Source organism: Homo sapiens, chromosome 6 (genome assembly GCF_000001405.40).
Source record: "Homo sapiens chromosome 6, GRCh38.p14 Primary Assembly".
NCBI lineage: Eukaryota > Metazoa > Chordata > Mammalia > Primates > Hominidae > Homo > Homo sapiens.
In genome coordinates this window covers 67,329,955-67,356,657 of record NC_000006.12, presented here as the reverse complement: position 1 = coordinate 67,356,657, position 26,703 = coordinate 67,329,955, and the positions used below count along the sequence as shown (strand labels likewise).

Here is a 26,703-nt window from a genome sequence, read left to right as displayed (position 1 = left end):
TTAAAAACAATATTAAGTATGTTTCCTTCGAATTTGTCAGATATTCATTGCTCAGCCAATGCTTGGATACCATGTCAGGTACACATATGAAAGTTCTTAACTTTGCTGCATCACACAGATAAATAGACTCAAATGCACTTCTAGTAAAACTCCTGTGTTTCCCATTATTTTCTCCATCCTTAATCTTTGCCCCAATTATACTTCAACATTTTATTAAATTATTATCCTAATGCTCTTTATCTCCTTCTTGACAAATTCTACAAACTTTCTTTTCTTTTAGATGTTTTGACTTCTATAGGCTTCTCCTCATACTCTAGTCCACTTTGTTCTCTCATTCTTAAAATGTTCTTCTTCCTTCATATGTTCATTTACCTACTTTTCAGTTTCTAGCTTCCCATATTAGAACTCCTTTTTTACTTCAATATCATCCAAAAATTATTTTTTGGTCAGCTGATCCTCCGTAACTCTATGATTCCCTCCATGGCCTTGACTTGTTGCAACATTATAATGAATTTCTTTGTCCCTTTTTCTAAATCTAGATGACTCCGTCTAAGTAACTGATAGAAATGAAAGTCCATATCTTTATCTATGGAGTACAAAACTGTAAAGAAACATGTAGAAGAATAAATTCATTATTTGCACTCTATATCAATCCAAACAAAAAATTTTAGTCATCTCTGTCATTCATCCCCTAAATAATAATAAGAAAAAAATAGTTCTTAAAACATACCTTAGCTATATCTTTCATTTGATTTCTTGACCATTAACTTGGGTCATGCCCCATATTTTCCTAATTTAGGCTCCATTTCCACCTCTCCCTATAACAAAACAATCTTTCTGAATTCTGCACTCAAAATGCATTTCACGATTTATTAGCCTTACATTTAAGAACATTTCTAGCTTGCCAATATTCTTTTCATATCTTTTCTCTACTCTTTTACAGACACTTGCACTGCAGCCAAGTTATCTGCCTTATGAACAATGTTTTGTCTTAGAAGTCTCTCTTTGTTTTTATAAAGTGACATGATTTCTTACTCTGTTATTAATGCCTACTGATCTACTTCTTTAATAAACCCATCACATATTTTCACCATGTAATCTATAGGCACTTTTTCTGCAGTGTTAACATCATCCTCATCATCCACTTGTGACATCATGCCAGCACTGAAAATGATTTGAATTTTGCCGCATTTCAAATGTCAGATTTTCAGATTAGGGATGGTCTTTCATTATCTTACATAGGACTTAATTCAACCATTTATTGTTTGTGTGGAAGGGGCAAAAATAAAGGAGGCTGCTGGAAACAAAATTCTTGTTAAACTCAGTGTGTGTTATGAAAAAGGCTTGTCCCCACCCCAACTGTCATGCCTGATTAGGGATTGCCCACTTTACTTATTACATTATTACCCTGTTCCTCACCAACCCACTCCCCTCACTTGCCCTGCCTTCTGTCACATACTTCTTCAAATTTGTTAAGATATAATTAGACCTTTGTAAAAAAATATGGATAAATATCCCCCCAAGAAACATAGACTCAGATAATTAGGTTGTTTTTGTTTTTTACTTACTTATATTTTTAAACTTGCTAAATACTATTTTGGTCACATTGGGTAAAAACTAATCCAACTGCATAATGGTAGAGAGCATTTCAGCTTCCCTAATTTATTCTTATACTTTGATTTCATAAATAATTTTTCTTTAACCTTGTGTTCTCTATCCTTCTATCAGTCCATGCTACCTAGTCCCTACTTATGATTTATCAGTTGTTATCTCAAGTATCACCTAGGTGATAGTGTCGTTTTTTTTCTTTCTCAGATTGACTCACATTAGGCACAGAGTGGACTCATGGAAATGAATAAAGTATGGATGCTTTAATACAAAGTTGTGTCCCCTTTAAAAATTTCACTTATTTCTCCTAAGCCAGCTTAACTCAAGTATGTCACTCCTACAATAATTGTAAAACTCATGTGTATCACGAAGGAATGTATGTTACTTTTATTAAAAGCTAAGGTTTTATTAGTGAAAAATAATGATCCTAAATGTAGATTTACTGATTTCTTCTGTAATTCTCATTACAATATATTCTCGTATTAACCAAAAAAAAAAAAAAATGGCTATTTAGAGACTAAGATCTCAGTGAGGATTGACACTGTCCTGAAATCTATTCCTTTTTTTTTTTGTAATTTAATCTCTGCTCTAAGCAGTGCTTTAATGCTGAGACTCAAAAGATAAATAGGAATTATCCTGATAGGGAAGTTTCTGTAAAGGCATTCCAGGGATGCTGAACTTCCTTACTGCAAATTCTCAACTAGCCTAAAATCTACTTCCCCTAGACTAACACAAAATTCTTCCTTCTGCTTTGCCTTTTTCTTACCCTTTTAGCCTTGTGCAGAGTAGTACTCTTTTAAAAATGTAAATCAGATCCTTTTATTTCCCTGCTTAAACCCTTCAATGGGTTTCATTGCTATTAAAATAAAATCCACACTTTTTTCCATGATCAATAAGGCTAACATCATTCTGCTTAATTCTCTAAATTCGCCCCTTATTATTGCCACTCTAACTCAGTGTTGTTCCGTCCCTCTGACATTCTTTTTTAGTCCCTCATTAAAGTCAAGCCTTTTGTAGCTTTCGGGACTTTTTATATCACTCCTCACTTCACACAGTTCTTCACATACTTGACTTATTCTAATCTCTCACCACACAGGTCACATCTCTAGAGAGGCCTTTCATTTTTTAAACACAAAAGGAAATCCAATTAAGCTTACACAGGCACATACACACATACAGTATTAGTTTTTTTCATAACTAAATCTTCACAAGGAAGAGTAGCATTTGATCCAATTGTCCATTCACAACACCAAAATGATGGTTTCTTTTTCCTTTCCCCCTCAGTTTTTTTGTTTGCCCAATTCATCCTATGTCACTATCCATGCACCCCACCTGAGAGTTTTTAGTAACCCCAAGGTCTTTATGCTTCAATGTATTTATCCAATTTGAAAGAGTAATACAGTGCCATTAGCTTTTTTGAAACTATATGGAAGAAACTTTCTTTTTTGAAAATATATGGAAGCAACTTTCCCAGGAAACCTTCAAAGAACTTGCTGTTGTGCCTCACCTTAAACCAATCACTATTTTCAAGGGAATGAAGGAGGGTGCAGTGCTTGATACAATAGTGTTCACCCCCCAGAGCTTGGAGATGGGGAAGGTTAAAAGCTTTAAGAGAGCAAGAAACCCTTAATGAGATGGAGGGAAACTTGGCAACCTGACAGAGAATAGTGAATAGGAGAGGGAATGGAGCAGGATACAGAAAATCAGCAGACATCCACTCTATTCTTCTTGTTGACTTTCTATTTTACTGCTCTGTGTATTAGTTATCTCACTAAGAGGATGGTAAGTGCCTTTTTAAACCCTTGTATACTGCAGCATCTAGGCCACATACACAATGATTTTGCTGAGTGAATCAATAAATGATGGAGTTATAAAGTAGTATAACATATGGAGAAATACAGTGAGCTCAAGAGATAGAGCTAAAATATAAGCAGCGGCGTATCATGAAGGACCCTGTATACTCTATGAGTATAAGCTCGGTTGTGTCACAACAAAAAATGATGCAAATACTCAATAACTTAAAGCAGTAAAAGTTTATTTATGCTCATACTCTCTATGCAAAATTGATGCTTAGAGCTCTGTATACTGTCTTAATCAGAAGCCCATGTTGATGGCGGCTTACCGCCATCTGTTTCCGCCACTATTGCATCATGAGGAAGGTTAATAGGGAGTCTTTCACTGGCTGTCGGTTTTGGTAAATAAATGATCATGTCACCTCCGATCGCATTTTATTAGCTAAAACAAGACACATCTAGCTTCAAATGGGAAGCAAAAAAGTACTATTAACTACGTGTCTGAAATATTTGTTTCAAAACAGCATATGTAAGGGTCTTTTATCAAATATAAAGGACATATGTGGGCAAGAGAAATTGGAACAAAAAGAATAGGAAGGGTATATGTTCAAGCACTAATAACAATTTCAACCTAGTTCATAATGGGGGGGGACATACTATGGTTTATTTTCACGTAAGATTGAAAATAAAACATTGCCTTATATTTAAATTAACTGAATGCTTAAAAGAAATCAACAGACAGTATACAAATAAACTATATAGAAGAAAATAAAGCTGAAATGTTGGTCAATTTTAAAATATTTATTAGGGAATACCAATATAAAATATTGAGTAAAAAACTGTTGAGCCAAGACCTGAATCCATATTTTTCTTACATCAAAATAAATGTCCTTCTCTTTATACTGTTTCAGTTTGAAACAAAAGCAAGCAAACAAGTAAACAAACAAAAACTACCAAACTCTTTACTCCCGACTTACAATGTTCTCTTCTATTTGGAGAGTTATCTACTGGCATAACGCTCTCAGCCCCATTTGTCCTCCTACTTACTTTTACTCTGAGTAGAAATTTGATTTATGTTATTGGTAAATTTCAAAAAGAAAATAAATGTACTTAACTCAATTTTTTATTTCTTCTTTTTTTTTTCTTCAAGATTTGACTTCCTAGACAGAAGGTCCATTGGAGGCTGCTTCTCCAGGTCATAAATTGTGTGAGTGTTCACTCTCAGATTAGGAAAACTGTGTTGCTTAGCGGGACATGTGACTAGGTCAGAAGTCTCTCAATTTCGATGTTCAATGTCACAACCGGCCTTAGTTTCACTGTTATTCATCAACCACCTAAACAATAAAATTAATATGTAGATCTGAATGTGTCTCATTCCTTACATCTCTTTCTCAGTTGGTTCAGGACTTAGGCAGAGAAAACAAAAATGGCATATTCGATGCTCAGTCAAATACCAATATAACATAAACAAAGAATAATAATGTGATGGTTACTTAGAGAAAGGTTAAATGAAGCTTTTTGTGGAGTTTCCATATAGACATGACTTTCAAAATGAAACTTATAAAAATAGTAATATGTGCTAGATAGAAGAAAGTCATAGGTAGAAAGCCTTTTCCAAGTATAAAAGTTTCTAAATCCAAATTGTATCTGCAATTTATTCTATCTGATAAAACTTTTATTAAGGTAAATAAATGAGAGATTCAAGTTCCAAATATGCAGTGTGTTGATGTTGTTATTCGTCCCATGATCCTAAACAATTCTCAGCCATTCTTTAAGACAGATCATAGTTCTTCTTCTCTATAGACTTTTCTAATTTATCAAATAATAAAATATAGTTTTTTTTCCAAATTTCTGCACAACTTCTTATATTTCATATTTTTATCCTTTTTCTGTTTGTACTGAACTGTTGTTTAAATATTTCACTTTTCATATAATTCTTCTGTTGTTTAAATTGTATCACATTAGCTGAATTAAGCTTTTCATGGAAACTTCACTGAGGATTATAAATCTTCGTATTTTCACAATATTGTGTACTGCCTCTTAGATTTAGTGCATAACTTAATTATCTATTGTTGGTTATATCTTTTAATGTGAGCATAGCAGAAATTCAATTGTAATGAAAAATAAGGCAAATAATATCTTATATTTTAGCTTTATTCTCAGCTAAATAATCTGATCAGAAAATGGACTGTGTAGTACACAGTGAGAAATGCATACTCATAAAGCGCAAAGTGAATAAGAAAGTTGAGGGTATAGAATTTTTATGAGACAAAGTATGTACTCATCCAATCAGTCACTCAATAAATATTTATCCATAGACTACTCTGTGGTACGCACTGTGCCTCATGCTGAGTACAAGATCCTGGGAAAGTCTGACATGCTCTCTGTCTTCATGAACTTAGAGTTTAAAGAGAAATAGCTAAATAGAAAAAGTAACGACAATACATTTGATGAACTGTTGTGACAATATATTTACTGATTTTTTTAATTCTTTATGAAGAAGTCTATAGATCAGATACCGAAGTCTTACACACATTTATTTTCAGCAAAGAAAGTGATAAGAATGGAATTTATTATGTTAGTGTGGCAGTGGATGAATTAATATATGTATGGGGTGAGCTGGAAGTTTGAAATTTAGCAGGCTTTCCTAAATCCCAAACTGAATTCATACATTAAGTAGTTCAAATATTGGAGAAACAGCCTTTCACAAAAAAGAAAGGCAGTATGACCACGGTGAGGCAAAGTCAAGCAAAACAAGAATACATCTTTCCATCCAGCAGATAACTTGAATGTGCACCAAAAATGGCAGTATTCTCGTCTTCAGGTAGAGCCTCCATTATTTGACTATCCTTGGCCACTATGTGTCTGTACAAGAAAATTAGAGTAGAGTGAAGCTTTATGTGGAGAACAAGTATTTTAGAATGTAAGAACAAAAACAGATACAAAATGTGTTTTCATTAATAAATCATTTAAGTAATTTTAATGTGTCCTCATAAAAGTCAACTTAATTGACTAATGTTCAAATAATTTTTAAAAAAGGATTAATACATAATTAAACAATTGTTCCATATTAATCACATTTGAAAATTTTCAACTATAGCTAGGAATTACCTTCAATTAGGGGGGCAGCTAAGGAAAGAAAATGAAAAGTGGGTCAGAGAATCAACAAATATGGAGATGTATAATGCAGTATGCATGGGTATGATTTGAGAGTTGTATAAGATAAACTGATATTACAAGTTTATAAATTCAGTTGGAGAAGATATGAGTAATTTGAGCAGGGAAATTTTGTCCAAAAGTGTTTTATTCTGCGTTTGTTGAAATTATATGCATGTTTAAGATCCAACAAAAGAATTCTGACAATAGATGTATAATTTTTCACATATATTTTTGATATAATTTATATATCTTTCCATACATATATTCAGAAGAAATAGATAAAATAGATGAAAAAGTAAAATAGATAGCAAATACACTTAAATAAAAATGGATCATTTACCCTATGGTTTAAGCTTCTGACATAGAATCTTTTAGGAAATTTCTATGTACTTATAAGGCAAGTTATATCCTTATATTTGCACTATTATCTTATTAATCCGTCTAGATAATTATTATTTTAAAACTTTTATACACACCAAAATACCTTTCCAATATGTATCTTTTTTATAGTATAAGAAAATTATCTTACATATTAGTATTGATACAACAAACTTTTAACTTTCCTGATAATATTTGAATTTAATAAAATACTTTGAAATGCTTTAATTTTCTCCACAAATCACTGGGGTGTGGGAAAAAAATTGATAGAATTAATCTATTATTCTATTTATCTGTGGAACAGAGACTGGATAACTGGAAAAGCTGTTTCTGAGTCCTGGCTTGCTAACTGAATATGCTCATATCAGTTATTGGCAGCACCTGTCATCTGCTTTGTGTTCTTAGATGCAACATAAATCTTTTTACCTAATGATATCTCTATGAGAGTACAGGAAATGCCATATTGGGTTATACTTATGATCCTTCTAATCCTAAGTTTGTTTTGATAAGGATTTCTAGGGCTGCCTTATGGAAAGATATGCCTTATAACACATGACATTAAGCAATACCAATTAAAGACACATTGAACACATCTCAACAATGGCATGTGTTTATTTCTACTCCATACCTACATCTTACTATTATGATTATAACAGAATAAAAGCAGTATAATAATGTCAGGCTCAAACTGAGGTCCGACGGGAGTCGGTGGGTGAGTGGTGGGTAGCTGGAAAAACACTCGAGGAATTGTAGACAGTTTCTACATGGCTTTATTTTTTTTCTGGGTGTGAGTGAGCTTGGAGTTGAGCAAGCCCAGGCACAAGCCATATGTCCAGCATTAGCAGGGTAACGTTGCTTTTATACACATCCTTTTTACACACCATTTATACACAATCATGGCTCTGAGTCAAGCATGAGCTCATGTGGGTGATCACCTAATGTGCCTCACGTGGCATGGTTTACAAAATGAGGGGAGTTGTGCACCTGCGTTCCAAACTCGCTCAGTCATGCTGGACTGAATGTCTGCCTCGACCTATTCTTGACCACAGCACATCCATTTCCTTAACACCTCACCCCTTAGGCCAAGGGAGACATAGGACTTGGACACACAGGTCTAACACATAGGCCTTATACATACGTTCTGGGCACACAGACCCCAGACACAAAGGTCAGACATATAGGCCTTGTACATTAAGCCAGGTTTTTATTTCACTACCTTGAGGATCACTGGGGCAGGCAGCAACCAGTTACTGTTCAGCCCCATACCTGGTCAGAGGAGGTCATCCTTCCTCTTACAGTTCTTGCCACATGCCCTGGCCCCACATGGGCCGGTGACCAACTAGTCACTTTTGTAATTTCTAAGTGATTAACCACAAGGCTTAGCCTCAATAAACACAGCTGTCAGTGCAGATTATCATAGGTGTCACCTCCTTGATGATCACTATTCATATTGTTCTGAGTTCAGCCCATTGACTACTTTGTCCACAACCAGTATCAAACCATATGTTGTCAGTAATAGTCTGGACTGTGACAGCAGTCCAAGCAACAGCAGTACGCTGGCTAGACCAATCTGCATACCATGCCCATCAGGAATGGGGGGCAGGGGAGTGCCTCAGGCACCATGGCCTTATGCCCCAAGGCCTTATCTTGCATTAGGACTACAGGTCCCAAGACTTCCTGCAACTCTGCTGCTAAGGGGCTTGTGTTGAGTGTACACCACTGCTCCAAGTAGGTGCCCCACATTGCTAAAGTGAATGTGCACCATCCCACTCTGGAGGATCATTACCCATAAATGCACGCATCCAGCTATCAGGTAAGTTGTCCACACGACAACTACAGCCCATCCTGTCACACTCTCACAAGCCCGAACAGCAGCATATACAGCTGCTAGCTGTTTCTCTGTCAAAGAATACTGGAGCTCAGCTCCCTTCCACAGTTGGCACCAAAAGCCTACTGGCATTCTCAAGCACTCTGTGTGCTGCCACAGGCCCCAACCAAAACCATCTGTGGTCACATGCACATCCAGCTCAAATGAGTGCCCTGGTCAACTACCCATAGGGCTTGTGCCTGCTGAATAGCCCACTTGACTGCCAGGAAGGTGGTCTCAGCTGCACTATCCCAATGTCAGGCAAACTAGCATCGCTGCTTCTAAATCTGAAAGCAAATCAGAGGTTAACATAAGATTATAAACAAGACCATGACATACGGTGGGGCTACTCATATAGCCATGTGGCAACATTCTGAAAGTCCATTGTTGCTCTCTCATGAAGGCAAATAGTTCCTGCCTCTCTAATAAAAAAAAAAAAATTGCATTAGCCCTGTTCATCACATAGTGGTACTGTCCCAATTCTGTCATCAAGAAGTCCATCAATTCCAAGATAGATGGCACAGCTGCCAAGTCATGTAAAACGTCCACCCCCAGAATACATCTGTTCTGGTGTCTACCAGCACCAGAACTTGTTGTACATTGGTGGGAGACCAGTGGGTTGCTAATTTCACATGCGGCCTCCACTTGTCTGGTGTCCTCCCAAAGCCAGGCACCTCGGCCAGTTCCCTCATCAAACAGAAAAAGGTTTTACTCCCCCGCCTGGCTGCAGCACATAGTCTTTGAGCCAGAGAACCTGGGCGGGACCAGATCACACAGCAATGTCTTTCTCCCCTTGGGCATTTTCTGGAATTGCTGCTCGGTAGACAACTGTCTCCACAAAGTTAGGAGTACTTCATTGGGCTGTTTATCGATTTTCTCTCAGTGAGTCTCGGCCAAAATCAAATCACATATGTGAGCATGTTACTCATTGGGACCCCCTTTTCTCTTGTGGGGGACCCCCTTCTTTATGGCACAGACCCCCTCATTCCCACCCAGAGCTTCCAGGCCTGCATACACAGCATCCTCTAATTCCTTTTTCAAGCTCTGTAGCTGAACTTCTAGGTGGCCCGCCTGCGTCTGGAGATCCCCATTCACGGAAGTTTCTAACTTCTTTTCTGAGCTGTGTAACCTGTAATCGGACCTCCAGGCACCCCACATGTGCCTGGAGGGCCCTTACCTGGACTACATCCCTCAGGGACTGGGTGTGTACTTCTCTTAGCGCACTCAAAAGTGCCCATCCAACTCTACCGGCAAAGGTTCATTCCTTTTCACTGCTCTGTGCTTCCAGTTGCCTCAATACTTTCTCTATGCTTGTGGGTGACCCATCCACCACCGCCCAGGTTTCCACCAGAGCCCATCAGAGCAGCAAAGCTGCCAGCAGGTACCACAACTCCTGTTGCGGCCACATGGCCAACCTGGAATCAGTGGGGACCAAAGCCTCACTCACTCTGGGATCCTGTTCGTTACACCAATTGTCAGGTTCTAACTGAGGCCCAAAGGGAGTTGGTGGGTGAGTGGCAGGTAGGTGGAAAAACACTCGAGGAATCGAAAACAGTTTAGACATGGCTTTATTCTCTCTCTGAGTGCAAGCAAGCCCGGGTGCAAGCCTGGGCACGACCTGTATGTACAGTGTTAGCAGGGTAATTATACCTTTACAGAAAATAGTGGCTCTGAGCCAAGCACAAGCTCATGTGTGTGATCACCTAATGTGCCTCACGTGGCATGGTTACACAATGAGTGGAGTTGTGCGTCTGTGCTCCAAACTTGCAGAGTCATGCTAGACCGGATGTCTGCCTTGACCTATTCTTTACCACAGTACATCCATTTTCCTTACAAATAGATTGAGCAAAAAGAATTTAAAAGTGACCACAGCAAATGATGAATGCCAAGTTATTCTTTAAGATGGTCCATGGATGAATGAATGATAGTTGACTTACAATTAAAGCTTCTTTTTTTCTTGCAGTAGCCTACAGTAGAGAAGTACAACAAATATGCACACACCTTCGTGCTACAAAATTCAACAATGTTAGGTAACAGTGTCTTTAAAAGTGTGTAATTGAAAGGGACTAAATAGAGGAGAATTGGTAGAAGAATTATTGAAGACATGGAAGACATATTTGGATCTCAAATATGTTCTGTCTAAGTCAAACAGCCTAGCGATTGCCTATTCTGCAGTGACAGAGGATAGGTTTATTGTTAGTGAAATCTGAACAGGAGAAATTTCAAACTTTGGGAAAACATGTCCTGACAAAAGAGATAAAGAAATGTCTTTTTTTTTTTTTTTTAGATGGAGTCTCGCTCTTTCGCCCAGGCTGGAGTGCAGTGGCGAGATCTTGTCTCACTGCAAGCTCCACCTCCCGGGTTCACGCCATTCCCCTGCCTCAGCCTCCCAAGTAGCTGGGACTACAGGCGCCCGCCACCACGCCTGGCTAATTTTTTGTATTTTTAGTAGAGACAGTGTTTCACCGTGTTAGCCATGATGGTCTCGATCTCCTGACCTTGTGATCCGCCCACCTCAGCTTCCCATAGTGCTGGAATTATAGGCGTGAGCCACGGCACCCAGACCAGCCCTCCTTTTTTTATTAGCTTCTACAATGCTGACTTTCAGACTCAAACCCATTTAGTAATAAGAGAGAATTTCTTCTGTAAAAAAAAAAAAAATGAGTAAGCCTGAGAAGTATGTATTTCCAACTCTGGTATTTGAGAATCCTTCACTGAAAATGGTGAATTCTCATTAGATCACTTTATTATGCACACCAGTTGACAAAATCTGAATAAGCAGACAAAGGTTCACCCATGTGTAAGAAAAACTATACAAGGTTAACTGAGAATTTCAAAAGATCTTACAAAATAACAGGGACAAAAATACAAATAAACAAATATATAGCACAGAAATACATAGAGCAAAAGAAAAGGAAACATATTTATGTAATATAAATAATATTTTCAAATATAAGAAACATTACTCTCCCCATTAGCCAAGGGTAGAATGTCTCTAAAAAACAATGCTGAAGATCACTAATCATCAGAGAAATGTGAATTAAAACCATGATGAGATATCTTCTCACACATCGGAATGGTTATTATTAAAAAGTCACAGAAATAACAGATTTTGGCATGGATGTGGAGTAAAATTAACACTTACACACATTTGGTAGGAATATAAATTAATTCAACCTCTGTGAAAAACAGCGTGAAGCTTCCTCAAAGAACTAAAAGTGCATCTACGATTTGACCCAGCAATCTGGCTACTGGATATCTACCCAAAGGAAAAGAGTTCATTATATTAAAAAGATACCTGCACACGCATAAAAATGTGAAAAAAGAAAAGGTATTATAACTAATAAGTGAGTTAAAAAATTAAGGAGGATACCAAGTCAGTGCATGAAAATCAATTGTATCTTTATATATACAAATACACACACACACACACACACACACACACACACACACACCATGGAATACTGCCCAACCAAAATAAAAGAATAAAATAATGCCTTTTGTAGCAACTTGGATGGAGTTGGAGGCCATTATTCTAAGTGAAGTCACTCAGGAATGAAAAATCTAATACCACGTGTTTTCACTTAAGTGAGTGCTAAGCTATGAGTACACAAAAGCGTACTGAGTGGTATAATAGACATTGGAGATTCACAGTGGGGAGAAGGAGGGGGAGTGAGGGATGCAAAAAAAGCATCTTGAGTACAATGTACAATATTCAGCTGACAGATGCATTAAAACCCTAGACATCACCACTGTACAATTAATCCATGTAACCCAAAAATACTTGTACCCCTAAAGCAAAGCAATTGAAATAAAAATAGAATTTAACTAAATAGAAAAGAAATTAAAAATTGAAATATAGAAAATAGTAGAAAACCAATTCTGAAGATGCTGGGAGGTAAAATATTGAAATAATATAATGTCCAAATAAAATAAGCAGAAGAAATAAAAAATAAGAATAAAATAAAATATTGAAGATGCCCCCAATAGTATAACAACATAAATTAAAAAGATCCACATAATAGCATACTATGGTCAAATTTTGAGAACATTGGGCCTAAAAAGGAATAAAAGATTGTGTCATTCTAGATTTCCACATTACAGTTACTGCACTATAAATAAGAACTTCAAAAAAAGTCTATCCATTTTTTACATATACTAATTTGTCCTCTGTGACTTATAATCTTGGATGTTTCAGGAGTCGTAAGAGGTTTCCACTGGAAATTATCTAGTATGTAGTAGAAATTAATTATTGCAGTATGCCTCAGGATTAGCTTTGGTTGTTGTTTAGACAAAATGCTTCATTAACTATATTTTATTGGTCTAGATTTTCTGTCTGAACATTCTCATTCACTCTCATACTACCACAATGTAATTATGATGCTCAAAGTATTTTTTAACTCTCAGCTCATTCCCCATTTTAAAATTTCCTTTTACTGAACATCTAATTAAGATTAACTCATTGGTACTTCAGAACCGCTATATAGTAGTCTGCCTTGTCTGAATTACTGTATTATTGAGGGGGAGGAAATTCTAGTTGTCTCAGCAATACTATTCACTCCTTCCTAATAACAAACACTTATATTTGTGGCAATGTGTCAAGCTAAAATATTACATTTCACAGACTCCCATGTTTTGAGACATGATCATGAAATTAATTTCTGCTCAATATAAGTTGAATTGTTTGCATTAGATTACTGATAATGCTTCTTAAAATTGAGACAGGTAGCTAAGACACATTATTTTTTTCTTTTTTCTTCACTTCCTGCCTAAAATATGTGTTTGATATGGATAACATGAACAGTTGTATGCCTATTGAAGAAACTGCAACTAGTTAAAAACTTTCTCACAAGGGAAGCTCCAAGCCCAGAATATTTCATTGGTGAATTATATCAACTTTTTAAGAATGAAGCAACACCAATTCTACCCAATTTTTTCAAAACATAGATGAGTGAACATTGTCCAACTCACTTTATAAGGCCAAGATGAATTTAATAAAACAGCAAAATATCACAAGAAAAGAAAAAAATAATAGATGCAAGCATCTTCAAAACATAATAGCAAATCACATTAAGTAACATATAAAATAAATAATACAGCATTACCAAGAGGAGTCTATCCTAAAAATGCAAGGCTGGTTCAACATTCAAAAATCAATCAATTTAACTCACCATATTAACAGAATGAAGAGAAGAAATTCTATAGCCTTATCAATCAGATGTATAAAAGGCATTGCCAATATTCAAAGTTTACTAATGATAAATATTTTCAGCAAACTACAAATAATAGGAGAAATTTTAAGTTGGAATAAAGACAACTCAAAAAGATTAACTTTATTCAACATCATATAGAACCTAAAAATGACTGGAGCCTTTCCCCCTTTAGTTCTATTATCTCTCTTATTCAATAATGTAATAGAAGTTCTAGAAAAATCTTGCATATTTAAAAAATTTAAAAAGATATTTGTATTATAAACAATATGAATGTCTACTAAACAGTATATGAAAAAAGGTATTATAACCAATAAATGAGTTAAAAAATTAAAGAGGATACCAAGTCAGTGCATGAAAATCAATTATATCTTTATATACTCCCAATGAATCATTAACATATGAAATAAAAAATAGCACAATATATAGTGATAACAAAAATAAAATGATTAGATATGAATCTAAGTGAATACAATATGTCTTTGCTGAAAACTACAAAACACTAAGGAATAGGATCAAAATAGACCAAAATAAAGTGAGAGGCTGGAGACTAAATATTGTGATAATGACTACTCTTCCTAAATTGTTTTATAGATAAAATATATTCCTAATAAAAATCATTGTGGGTTTTTTTTTGATATTGATAAGTTGATTCTAAACTTAGTAAATAGGCAAAACCATTCTACTAAAGAGCAAAAATAAAAAACTCACATTATTTGATTTCAAGGCATACTACAAAATTACAATCATTACCAGGAGAGTATAACTGCAGCAAAATAAAAAACACGGAGGTTGATCGAACGACAGCATGGAAGAAGACCCAAACAAATATGGTCAACTGATTTTTTTACAAAAGCACAAAGATATTTCTGTGGAGAATGGAAAGTCTTCTCAAGAAATTGTGTGGGAACAATTGGCTGTCCACATGAAAAACAACTTAACTTCAAATCACACCTGATACCTGATACAAATATTAACACATAATGAAACATAGACCAGAAAGAAAAATCTAAAGCTATAAAATTGCCAGAAGAAATAATAAGATAATAATTCTGTGAACTTTTTAAGGCAATATATTTTTTGATAAAACTTTTAAACACAATCTGTAAAAGAAGAAGATAAATTGTATTTTATTAAATTTTATGACTTTCTTCTGTGAAAGGCAACATTAAGATAATTCAAATACAAGCCACAAAATATGATAAATTATTTGTATATCATAATTCTGTCAGAATACTTTATTCTTAATATATAAAAACGTTATTAAATATTTATTAAATTATTAAAAACTCAGTAAGAAGAGCATAAAAACTCAACTAAGAATGGGCAAGGCTGGGAGGGGTGGCTCATGCCTGTAATCCCAGCACTTTCAGAGGCCAAGGTGGGTGAATTACGAGGTCAGGAGATCAAGACTACCCTGGACAACATGGTGAAACCTGTTTCTACTAAAAATACAAAAATTAACTGGGCATGGTGGCGCAAGCCTGTAATCCCAGCTATTCGGGAGGCTGAGGCAGGAGAATCGCTTGAACCAGGGAGTCGGAGATTGCAGTGAGCCGAGATCACGCAACCACTGCACTCCAGCCTGGTGACAGAGTGAGACTCAGTCCAAAAAAAAAAAAAAAAAAAAAAAAAAAAAAGAATGGGTGAAATTTGTTTCACCAATGGTGATACATAGAGGATAAATAAGCATATGAAAATATACTCAACATCATTTGCTACTAGGAAAACAGCAATTAAAACTATAAGGAGGTACCATCATGGAGTTAAATTTTTAAAAAGAAAAAAATTATATATATATATTTATATTATACATATATATCAGATATATCACATTCTGGCAAAAAACGTTAAACAAATGAAACTTATATTGCTGGTGGAAATGCAAAATACTACAGTCACTTTTAAAGATAGTTGGAAGTTTCTTTTACAGTTGAAAATATACTTACTCTATGATTCTGAGAATCAACAGGACAGATACATATATATATACAGAGAGAGAGACAAAGAGAGAGAGAGAGGGAGAATAGAAATTGGCTCAAGCAATTATGGAGTGCAAGAAGTCCCAAGATCTTCCATCTTCAACCTAGTAAACTGGGAAAGCCAGTGGTATAATTCTGTTCCTGGCCATATGCCTGAAAACCAGGGGAGCTGATGTTCAAGGGCAGGAGATCGATTTCCCAGCTAAAAGAGAGTGCAAATTTGCCCTCCTGCACCACGTTTTTTTTCAGTTTGGCTCTCCATGGATTGGATAATGTCCACTGCATTAATGTAGGCAATCTTCTTTATTTAGTCTACTGATTCAAATGCTAATCTCTTCCAGAAACACTCTGACAGACACACCCAGAAACAATGTTGTACCAGCTGTCTGGACATCCCTTAGCTCGCTAAGGTTGACACCTAACTCTGAACATCATACCCGGAAATCTCCATCCTTAATACAAAATAAATAAAAATGTATAATTGCAAAAGATCAGTACATTCATATTTACTAACTTTATACTCTTCATTAATAACTTTATTCATAATTATCCCAAACTAGATATGCCCTAGATGTCTTTAAATTGGTGACTAGATACACAACCTATGGTACATCCATAAAATAGACTACTAGTCATCAATAGACATGCACTCTACTATCACCTATGTGTGTGTGTGTGTATGTGTGTGTTATGTGTGTGTGTGTGAGAACACAGGTAGATAAGCAGATGGATTAGTCATGCATATAAACTTCAGATAAGTCCAAAGATTGGAACAGAAATAAGTCCGTATAAGATTTTGTGGTGTAGGGAGGATGGATTATAAAGGGAAGCACAAAGGTATATTTAGGAGGTGATTGAACAGCTTTTTATACTGAATGCGGTAGTGAATACACAATTCTATGCAGTTGTTAAAACCTAAAGCGCTGTGAAACACTACATTTTACTATGTATGAATGTAAAAAAATAGATAGAATGTACATGAACCCAAAATAAATTTCAAACCATAGCAACTAAACATGAGTATATTAACCACACCGAAAGGGATTGAGATTAAAACAACTAACCTGTTTTTGAAGAAGGATATTTTGATTAGATAATGTAAAATTAAGGACAAAAAACTTAAACACTATATAGATGTATGAGTTAGCAATTCTCAAAATAATGTATATGTATACCAGGGTGTGGTATCACTCAAGAAATTGTTGCCTAGTCCAATGTCCTGGAGAGTTTCTCAAAGTTTGCATTTGTTAGTTTCATTCCTTAAGATGTTGGATTTAATTCTCTAATGAATTTTTATTTGATTTTTGTATATGGTGAGAGATAAGGATATAGTTTTATTGTTCTACATATGGATAGCCAGTTTCCTAGCACCATTTATTGAAGAGACTGTCGTTTCCTCAATGTATGTTCTTGGTGCCTTTGTCAAAAATGAGCTCACTGTACTTGTATGGATTTATTTCTCTGTTCTCGATTCTGTATCATTGGTCCATGTGTTTATTTTTATGCCCATATGATACTGTCTTGGTTATCATAGCTCTATAGTGTAATCTGAAGTCTGGTACTGTGATTCCTTCAGTTTTGTTCTTTTTTTCCAGGATAGGTTTGGCTACTCTGGGTCATTTTTGGTTCCATATAAATTTTAGGATTTTTTCTAATTCTGTGAAGAATGTCATTGGTATTTTGATAAAAATTGTTTTGAAAATGTAGATTGTTTGATTAGCATGGAAATTTTAATTACCTTGATTATTCAAATCCATGAACATGGAATATCTTTCCATTTTCTTGTGTCCTATTCAATTTATTTGATCAAAGTTCTATAATTTTCACTGTAGAGATTTGGTTAAGTTTATTTTTAGGTATTTTATTTTATTTGTAGTGGTTGTAAATGAAATAACGTTCTCGATTTCTTTTTCAGATTGTGCAGTTGGCATATAGAAATGCTACTGACTTTCATATGTTGATTTTGTGTCCTGTAACTTTACTGAATTTGTGGTCAGTTCTAATAATTTTTGGTGGAGTCCTTAGGTTTTCCAAATATAACGCCATATGATTTGCAAACAAGGATTACTTGACTTCTTATTTTCCAATTTGCATGCCCTTTATTTCTTTCTCTTGTCTGATTGCTCTAACTAGGTCTTCCAGCACTATGTTACATAACACTGGTAAAAATGGGTATCCTTGTGTTCATGAACTTAGATAAAAAGTTTTCAGTATTTGCCCACTCAGTATGATATTAGTTGTGAATCCGTCATATAAGGCTTTTATTGTGTTGAGGTATGTTCCTTCCATACACATTATTGAGGGTTATTATTATAAAGAGATGTTGAATTTTATTAAATGCTTCTTCAACACCAAGTGAAATGATCATATGTGTTTTTTTCCTTCATTCGTTTGCTATGATGTATTGTATTAATTAATTTGCATATATTGAAACATCCTTGCATCACTGGGATAAATCCAACTTGGTGATGGTGAAAGATCTTTTTAATACGTTGTTTAATTCAGTTTGCTAGTATTTTGTTAAGGAATTTTGCATCAATGTTCATTAGGTATCTTGTTCTGCAGTCTTTTTTTTTTAAAAAAATATGTCTTTGTCTTGTTTTGGTGCCAAGATAATACTGGCCATGTAGAATGAATTTGGAAGTATTTGGTCCTTGTTAAGTAGTTTTATGCAGTAAGTGCTATGGTCCATTGAAGAGTTTTAGAAAACTCTTTTTAAAAGTGTATCAGTTTTAGAAAACTCTTTAGAAAAGTATATCTGTTTAGTGGCAATTAGAGGAATAGTATGAAATGACTAAGAATAGAGGCACTTGGAATGAAGAAGATTATGCTTATTTAAACATATTGAGAAGGAAAAAATATAAACAGTACTTTGGTGTGATTTGACATGGTGGCATGGAGCAGGGGATGGGAAGATACTCATTCTAGGAAGGCTGCTGGCAAGGACAGAGTGCTAATAAATACTAAAGAAAATAAAGACTATATAGAGAAGAAGGAGGTAAAATGATTAAGCTGCAAACATTTTCAAATGTAAATTCTTGTGAAAGACCATATGGAAAATAGATAGAAGAATCAATAGTCAAGTCCCAAATTAGGAGAGGCTTTGACTTGATAGAGAGGAAATGCACTCATCTAAGATAAGTACATACAGAAGGGTGATGGGCCAATGGGTTCACCTTGTGGAATACAAAAGTACTTTGTTAGAACAAGAACACTGACCCAAAATGATAAATAAGTATTTTCCCCTTATAGGTCTTGAAATATAAGTTTCCTTTGAGTTTTAACCACCAGAAAGCTTAACATAAAAATATTGTTTAAAAATAACAATTGCATAATGCCTTATGACTTAATTTTCTCTGTTTCCACTTTAAAATTCATGAATATTGATCTAAAATCATTTTTAATCTTTATAATCTTTTAATATTATATTTCAAGTAATTGCTACAAAGATTTGTAAAACACTTTGTGTAAAATATTGTGGCTACAAATAAGGTAACTTACTGAATAAACAAATTAAAAATGATTAATAAATATATATTGTTGGACTAGAATCAATGAAGGTTGGCATACCTACCTGTTGCAATACTGACCCTGGGAAATTTTACAGAGTCTACAATGTAGTCTCATTTCATATTTATCTTAAGGTGAATCAAGTCCTTGTGCTATTTCTGTGACAAGCAGCAATCAATTCAAGAGTAGATCTATTATAACATGTGCTGCAGAAAAATTAGGATCTGTGAGAGAAAGAAATCTTAACATAACTCCGTATACACTACTTATTTCTCTCCTTCAAACAATCCAACAACTACCTCTAGCTTGCCCTGGTGTCTCTGAGTGTTGGGGTAATTTAAAAAGACAGAGTAGTCAAGCTTTCAGACACATAAAAATGATGTTTGATCTTATAATGGCCTCCAGCATCAGGCCAGCTGTTCTCTGTCTGGGGACTTGCCCTTTCTATATTTCTATATTTTAATCGAATGGGGGCCATAACCAGCCCTAGGAACAAGAGAAAAGAAATGCTTAATGTTTTTCAACATTTTTTTAAATGAGGAAACCATTCACAATAATATTTATTTTTCCTTTTCTGTATATTATGAAGGTTCAAGAAAGTCATTTTTCTTTGGTTTGTGGTTGACTGAAAATGGAAAGGCTTATATCTGGCTCATTCTTAACACTTAAGTCTTGAGATGAAAAGGATTTTCTATGAACCTTTACTGTGGGGCATGCCGTGAATTTTGTATTCCATTCCTAGGTTCCAGGAGGCAATGAAAATCTAAAGCTCAAGTTCATCAAAATAAACAATTGCCATAAGCCTGAAAGCTGTCTTCATTGCTTTTGTTTTTTCATCTCGCTAATCTCCTAACCTCAAGGATTCGAAAGATAACTATTTCTTTGAGCTCCCTGGTGCATTTAAGAAGAGTTGTTTCCCAACCCCACCACCATCCCCACACCCAACCGCCTGGACTGTTTGTGGGACTTTTATTTTTGCAAGGGAGGTAATTCAGATACTTAAAGAGCTCTATTGCTAGAAATAAAATTTCTAGATAGTTTTTAGCCATTTTAGCCTCAGTTCAAAGATAAACTCTTTTCTGACATCTTCACTAACTCTCCAAAGAAAAATTAATAAACTACTCACTGATATCTCACAATACTTGTTTAAATACCGTACTTTTATGTTTCATGTTACATTGCAAACTTTCTATTCAAATACCTGAGCTTCCATTAGATGTGCACAATTGTTATTCAACTTTGCATCCCAGAGTCTTATACTTTGTATTTTGCTATAACTTGATGACTGGTGCTCCTAAAAGACCTTATATTAAAAGAAAATTTTGAAATTAAGTAACTGTTTCAATTGAAAACAATAACAATATCTATTTATTATAATAATAATATAAATAGGCTGCTGCCACAAACTCCTTTAGACTCATAACAAAATTATTTTTTCTTTAGAAATGTCAATTTTATAGCAGTCATTATTTTGTTATTTTTTGAATTAAAAATGATAAATCAGTTGATGGAAACTGGAAAAAGCCTACATGATTTTCCATTTGACCTTTTTCTATACTCTGATGGGTGTCACAGTCCCTTTAATCACCTTTCACCTGAGCCTGGCATTTGCTTTGCATCAGCTCATACTTGTAACATGTAAATAAAAGGAACACAAAGGAAACAAAATAACCTCTTTTCACCAGAACAGTTAATAGCTCAAATGCATCACTAAATTTCTATGTTTTGTTAAGTTACAGCTTTTATTCTGCTTCAGTCCTGCTCATTATACCCAATACCAGGTCTTGGATGCAGATACTGTCTCCTAAGTAATAAGTCATGTTATTTCCATTTTGTACAATAAAACAACACAATTTGGAAAAATAATTTTATGGTGCAAGGCTTGTATTGGGTGCTTAATTCAAGATTGTTCAGTCAATGATAATCTGAAAAGAGTTTGTGAGACTGCATTTCAGCCTATTGAAACTTGAAGCAACCTACTATTATTGTATAATAATAACATTTATCATGTAATTTTATAGTTTAAGGAATATTTGTGGATTCACAAAAGACTCATTGTCATTTCTGATTCAACTAAGAATAAACAGATATACTAACATGATGAGGCCTAAGGGATCTTTGTACGTGACACTGAAAAAGAGCTCACTGGCAAAAGCAATAGATTCTTTTTCATTAGGTACAAATGATACATCCAAGGATCATTTTCCAGGTTGCTGAGTATTTTTTTTTTCTACTACATTGGAAAAGTTGATGATCTTTAAACTGAAACAGTAGTATGAGATTTTATTATATATCAAATGAATTATGTTCTGGTTTCATCATCAATCATTGAGGTAAACATTACATTGCTTTTGATCTAAAAACAAAGTAAACATGTTCATTTATAATCAGAAGACTTAACATTAAGTTATAATAATCTTACAAGTTATATAGCCTATGAATTATAATCTTAGGGGAAAACAGGAACAATAGATCTATAACTACAAGGATAGATTTGTTAACTGAATATGCCATTTTATGGAAAATACTCAGGGATGTGTTGCTATGCCATTTCTACCAAGAAACTAATCAAATTTGTAATCTGGATTTCCTTGTGGTTCAATTTATATTTTTTATTTTTTTCACTGGACTATAATCCTCTCCACTCAGTAACAGTTTTGATGTATTCATTTGACCTTGTAACTGATGCTACAGATAAAAAAGCAAGTTTATCATTTTTGAAAAATTTATTATCAAAAGAAAATGCTGGATAAATTAGCTCTGATTTTCTTACTAAGGATTACCTCAACAGACTAAATAGTATGATTTATTAAAATTTAATAATAAACACACATGCATTAAGAATTATGCCATGAATATAAACTTATATTCATTTGTATATATTATATATATTAGAAGAAATCTATTTTTATCATATGCTTAATTATTTTATCAAGATCCTCTATAAAATAAACCTCATGAGGAAAGTATTAACTGCTAAGCACATAGAAGGCACACATATATGTTGAAAGGATATTTCTTCAAGCAATCAGGTAATTGTATATATGCATTATAGATTTCAAAAATACTTATACTACTACAGTGAAAGATACAAAATCTTTCTCCAGAAATATCATTTCACATACTTTGAATTATCTTCATATCTTTTTTTTTTTCTTTTTTAGACTGGAAGTCTCCCATTACATTTTTTATTTGTTTATTTATTTATTTTTTTTTTGAGACAATCTTGTTCTGTGGCACATCTGGAGTGCAGTGGCGCAATCTCTGTTCACTGCGACCTCTGCCTCCCGAGTTCAAGCAATTCTTGTGCCTCAGCCTCTGGAGTAGCTGGGATTACAGGTGCCAGCCTCCATGCCCAGCTAATCTTTGTATTTTTAGTAGAGACAGGTTTTCACTATGTTGGCCAGGCTGGTCTGGAACTCCTGGCCTCAAGCCATCTGCATGCCTTGGCCTCCCAAATTCCTGGGATTAGAGGGGAAAGCCACCACACCCAGCCCATATTTTATTTTTATTTGAACTCTTATTCATATCTGGGTGAAATTTTGTTATGGGTATTACATATTTCCAATTTTAGAATCAAATTCATCAATTTACATTATTTTATAATTTCAAATATTTTCAAATATTTACAATCTGTCAGGAAATTTTTTTCACGTAAATGTTTACATCTTAAATTTGTTAGTGGTTTTAAGTCCTAATAGAATATGTGGTCTTTTTTTACTCTTTCCCATTCCAACAAGATTTTAATACTTATCACTCTATTTCTATTATTATATTCATTTTAAATCAATAATTATTCTTTTCCTTCAACAAACAAATATTAAATGTGTAACATGTTACAGACATTAGGTATGCACTGGACATAGAATAGTATGCTAGATGAAGTCTATTTCTTCATCAACTTATATTTTAATTTAAAAAAAATTCTGAGAGATTTACATGATTGAATGGAGTAAGTCCCACTAACTTAAATAAAGTATGTACCATTTCCAAACCATAATTTCTGTTGGGGGTAGGCTGTTGAAATTTGAATACATAACCTAGTCTATTTTAACTCAAGACTTTACCCATCTCTTCTATATTTGGTATTTTATCCAAACTATCTCATTAATTATATATAATTTAATTATATTAATGATAATATAAAAATAGAAACATTATGGCTGGGCGCAGTGGCTCACGCCTCTAATCCCAGCACTTTGGGAGGCCGAGGCGGGTGGATCACGAGGTCAGGAGATCGAGACCATCCTGAGTAACACGGTGAAACCACATCTCTACTAAAAATACAAAAAATTAGCCGTGTGTGGTAGTGGTCGCCTGTAGTCCCAGCTACTCCGGAGGCTGAGGCAGGAGAATGGCGTGAACCCGGGAGGCAGAGCTTGCAGTGAGCCGAGATCACACCACTGCACTCCAGCTTGGGTGACAGAGCGAGACTCCGTCTCAAAAAAAAAAAAAAATAGAGACATTATTATTGAATTCCTAGGTCCAAATATAAAACAAGTTTATTATTACAGTATAAGGGATTTGAGTAATTCATTGGAAGCATTTCAAATTATAATAATTTCACTTATGAGAATTCTCTAATACTATAAATATTTAAATGTTCAAGATTATGGTGGACTTGCAGGTTAAACAGGTGGTGATAGAAATAGAATTGCATGCTTATTAACTACAGAGAAGAATATACATCTTAGGTGACTGTTATGAAGGAGAATTTAGATCAACTTCTCTAAAAATATAAACAGGAACTATACAGACAACCTCTTTAAAATATTTTTCTTCTCTTTCTTTAAACAAATTTTGTTGTCTATATTTAAGGTATACAACATGATGTCATTGGATATATATAGATAGTAAAATACTTGTAAATAGCGTACAGATGCAGATGATTAACATAGTAAAGCAAATTAACAAATACATTATTTCACATAACTGCCCATATTTTTGTTTTTGTGTCAGGAGCAGCTAAAATCCACTCATTTGCTGTACTCAAATATAATACAGTTTTATTACTTATATTTCTATGATCATACATTTGATGTCTAAACTTGTTAATCTAATATATCTGCTATTTTATATTCTCTGGCCTACATCTTCCCATATAACTCCTCCACTTCCACCCCTCTTAACCACTGTTTTATTCTCAGCCTCTCTATATTTTACTTTCTATGGTGCCACACATGAGAAAGATCACGTAATATTTTTGTATGTTTGTCTGTCTTATTTCATTTAGCATACTGATCTCCAGCTTTATCAGTGTTATGGGAAATGGCAGAACGCTTAGTTTGTTTCTACATCTTGGCTATTGTGAATGATCTTCTCACTGTAGAATGATGAAAATACTAACAAAACAATTTTCACCTTCTTCTGAAGTCTATTAGTCTTTGGTCTATTGTTAGAAACAATAGTAATTACATAAAACAAATTACATTTTATGTAATAGTAATTACATAAAACAACAGTAATTACATAAAACAAAAAATATTCACCAATTAGATAAAAACATAGCATCCACTCTCAAAACAGGCATAAAATCTGTGTTGTTTAGGTTTCCACTAACTGCAAGTGAGGGAAATCCAACTTTTAGTAGGATATTCATTCACTTATGTAACTGGAGAAGATGTGTGAAGCTTACTTATCTCCATCTTTCAGCACTAGTTTTGCTGCCAACTCTTGTGCTGATAATGAGCTTCTGCTGTGAATGAGAGGCCAAAATATGCTAAAGCATATACTGATCATAAAAACATTTAGAAAATAAAGGAATATTCTAATATATATTATATATAAAAATATACAAAATATATGGCTTTTGAGGGGCTCAGAGGAATCAATGTTTTTATTAATTCCATACGTGTTCATTTAGTGTCTTTAAAAATGCAACATTTATATTAATGCTACAAACAAAAGTCATGTAAAAACTTTGGTAAATTTATAGAAAATCTTTCTTTATTTTAAAATTTACTAAAGTTATACTATGTTCAACATGTCTAATAATTTACTTCTACATAGTTGTACAGTGTTATCACTTGATATTTTTCAAGCCAAAATTTATTTTGTACTTACAATGTGTTAGATACTGTGCTAAGATGCTTATAGCCATCATTAGCTATTTTGATCCTCATAATAACACTTGGAGGTAGGCATTGTTATTCCCATTTTACCCATAAGGAAAACAGGATTTAAGGAGTTTAAATAATTTGCCTAGTGTACACAGCTGAGAAAAGGCAAGACTAGAATTTGAAGCTAGATGAGTTATCTTAAGAATTACATTCCTTATAGTACACACACACATACACACACATACACACATTCACACTTATTTTTCTTGCTAAATAACTCCTTATTAAAGTTTAAAAAATTCTGACAAACTGCTTTAGTAAATGGAGATATATTTATGTGTGTTTTGAGAATGGATTGGGGAGATTAACATTTATGTTCTTCAGTTTATTCATAAAACTAAATTGATATATGGATGGAATGCATTAGGTTAAGTATCAACATATTTTAACTCTTAAAGTTACTTATTAATCGAGTGACTGTATTAACCAGAGTTCTCTAGAGAGACAGAAATAACAGGACATTTTTATATATGAAAGGGAGTTTGTTAAAGAGAATTGACACACATGATCACAAGGCAAATTCCCACAATAGGCCATCTGCAAGTTGAGGAGCAAGGAAGCCAGTGGTGGATCAGTCTGAGTTTCAAAACCTCAAAAGTAGGGAAGCCAACAGTGCAGCCTTCAGTCTGTGGCCAAAGGCCCAAGAGCCCCTGGCAAATCACTGGTGTAAGTCCATGGGTCAAAAAGCTGAAGAACTTGGAGTCTGATGTTTGAGGCCAGGAAGCACCCAGAAGTGGAGAAAAATGAAGCTCAGAAGATTCACCAAGTGAAGTCCTTCCAACTTCTGCCTGCTTTATTCTAGCTGCACTGGCAGCTGATTAGATGGTGTCCACCCAGATTGAGGATAGGTCTGCCTCTCCCAGTCCACTGACTCAAATGTTAATCTCCTTTAATCTCCTTTGGCAGTACCCTCACAGACACACCCAGGAACAATAGTTTGCCTATTTCAATCCAATCAAGTTGACACTCAATATTAACCATCACAGTGACAAATGGTGTTAAAAAGAGAGAGAAATTTCTTTTTCATAAAAAGCTATAGTATGTCAGTATACAGAACTCAAACAGGGTTGATAAAAA

At 34.5% G+C, this 26,703-nt stretch overlaps 1 long non-coding RNA gene across 1 annotated transcript in view, besides 1 other annotated feature; it reads right to left on the bottom strand.

Moving 5' to 3' along the window:
- Window positions 1-4,187: 4,187 nt before the first annotated feature.
- Window positions 4,188-26,703, bottom strand: part of LOC105377842 (uncharacterized) — a 51,796-nt gene continuing 29,280 nt past the window's right edge. Inside the window, exons 4-6 of the long non-coding RNA XR_942658.3 lie at window positions 20,709-20,810; window positions 19,572-19,713; window positions 4,188-4,735 (exon numbers count right to left, since the gene is read on the bottom strand). This is a non-coding gene — a long non-coding RNA (uncharacterized LOC105377842). The remainder of the gene's footprint in view (window positions 4,736-19,571; window positions 19,714-20,708; window positions 20,811-26,703) is intronic.
- Window positions 10,044-11,243: an enhancer, noted in NCBI's record as "MED14-independent group 3 enhancer chr6:68055308-68056507 (GRCh37/hg19 assembly coordinates)". NCBI's record gives its function as "activates an origin of replication core promoter dependent on BRD2, BRD4, P300/CBP and CDK7 cofactors, and independent of MED14, by STARR-seq in HCT116 cells {active_cell/tissue: HCT116}" and the evidence as "EXISTENCE:reporter gene assay evidence [ECO:0000049][PMID:35650434]".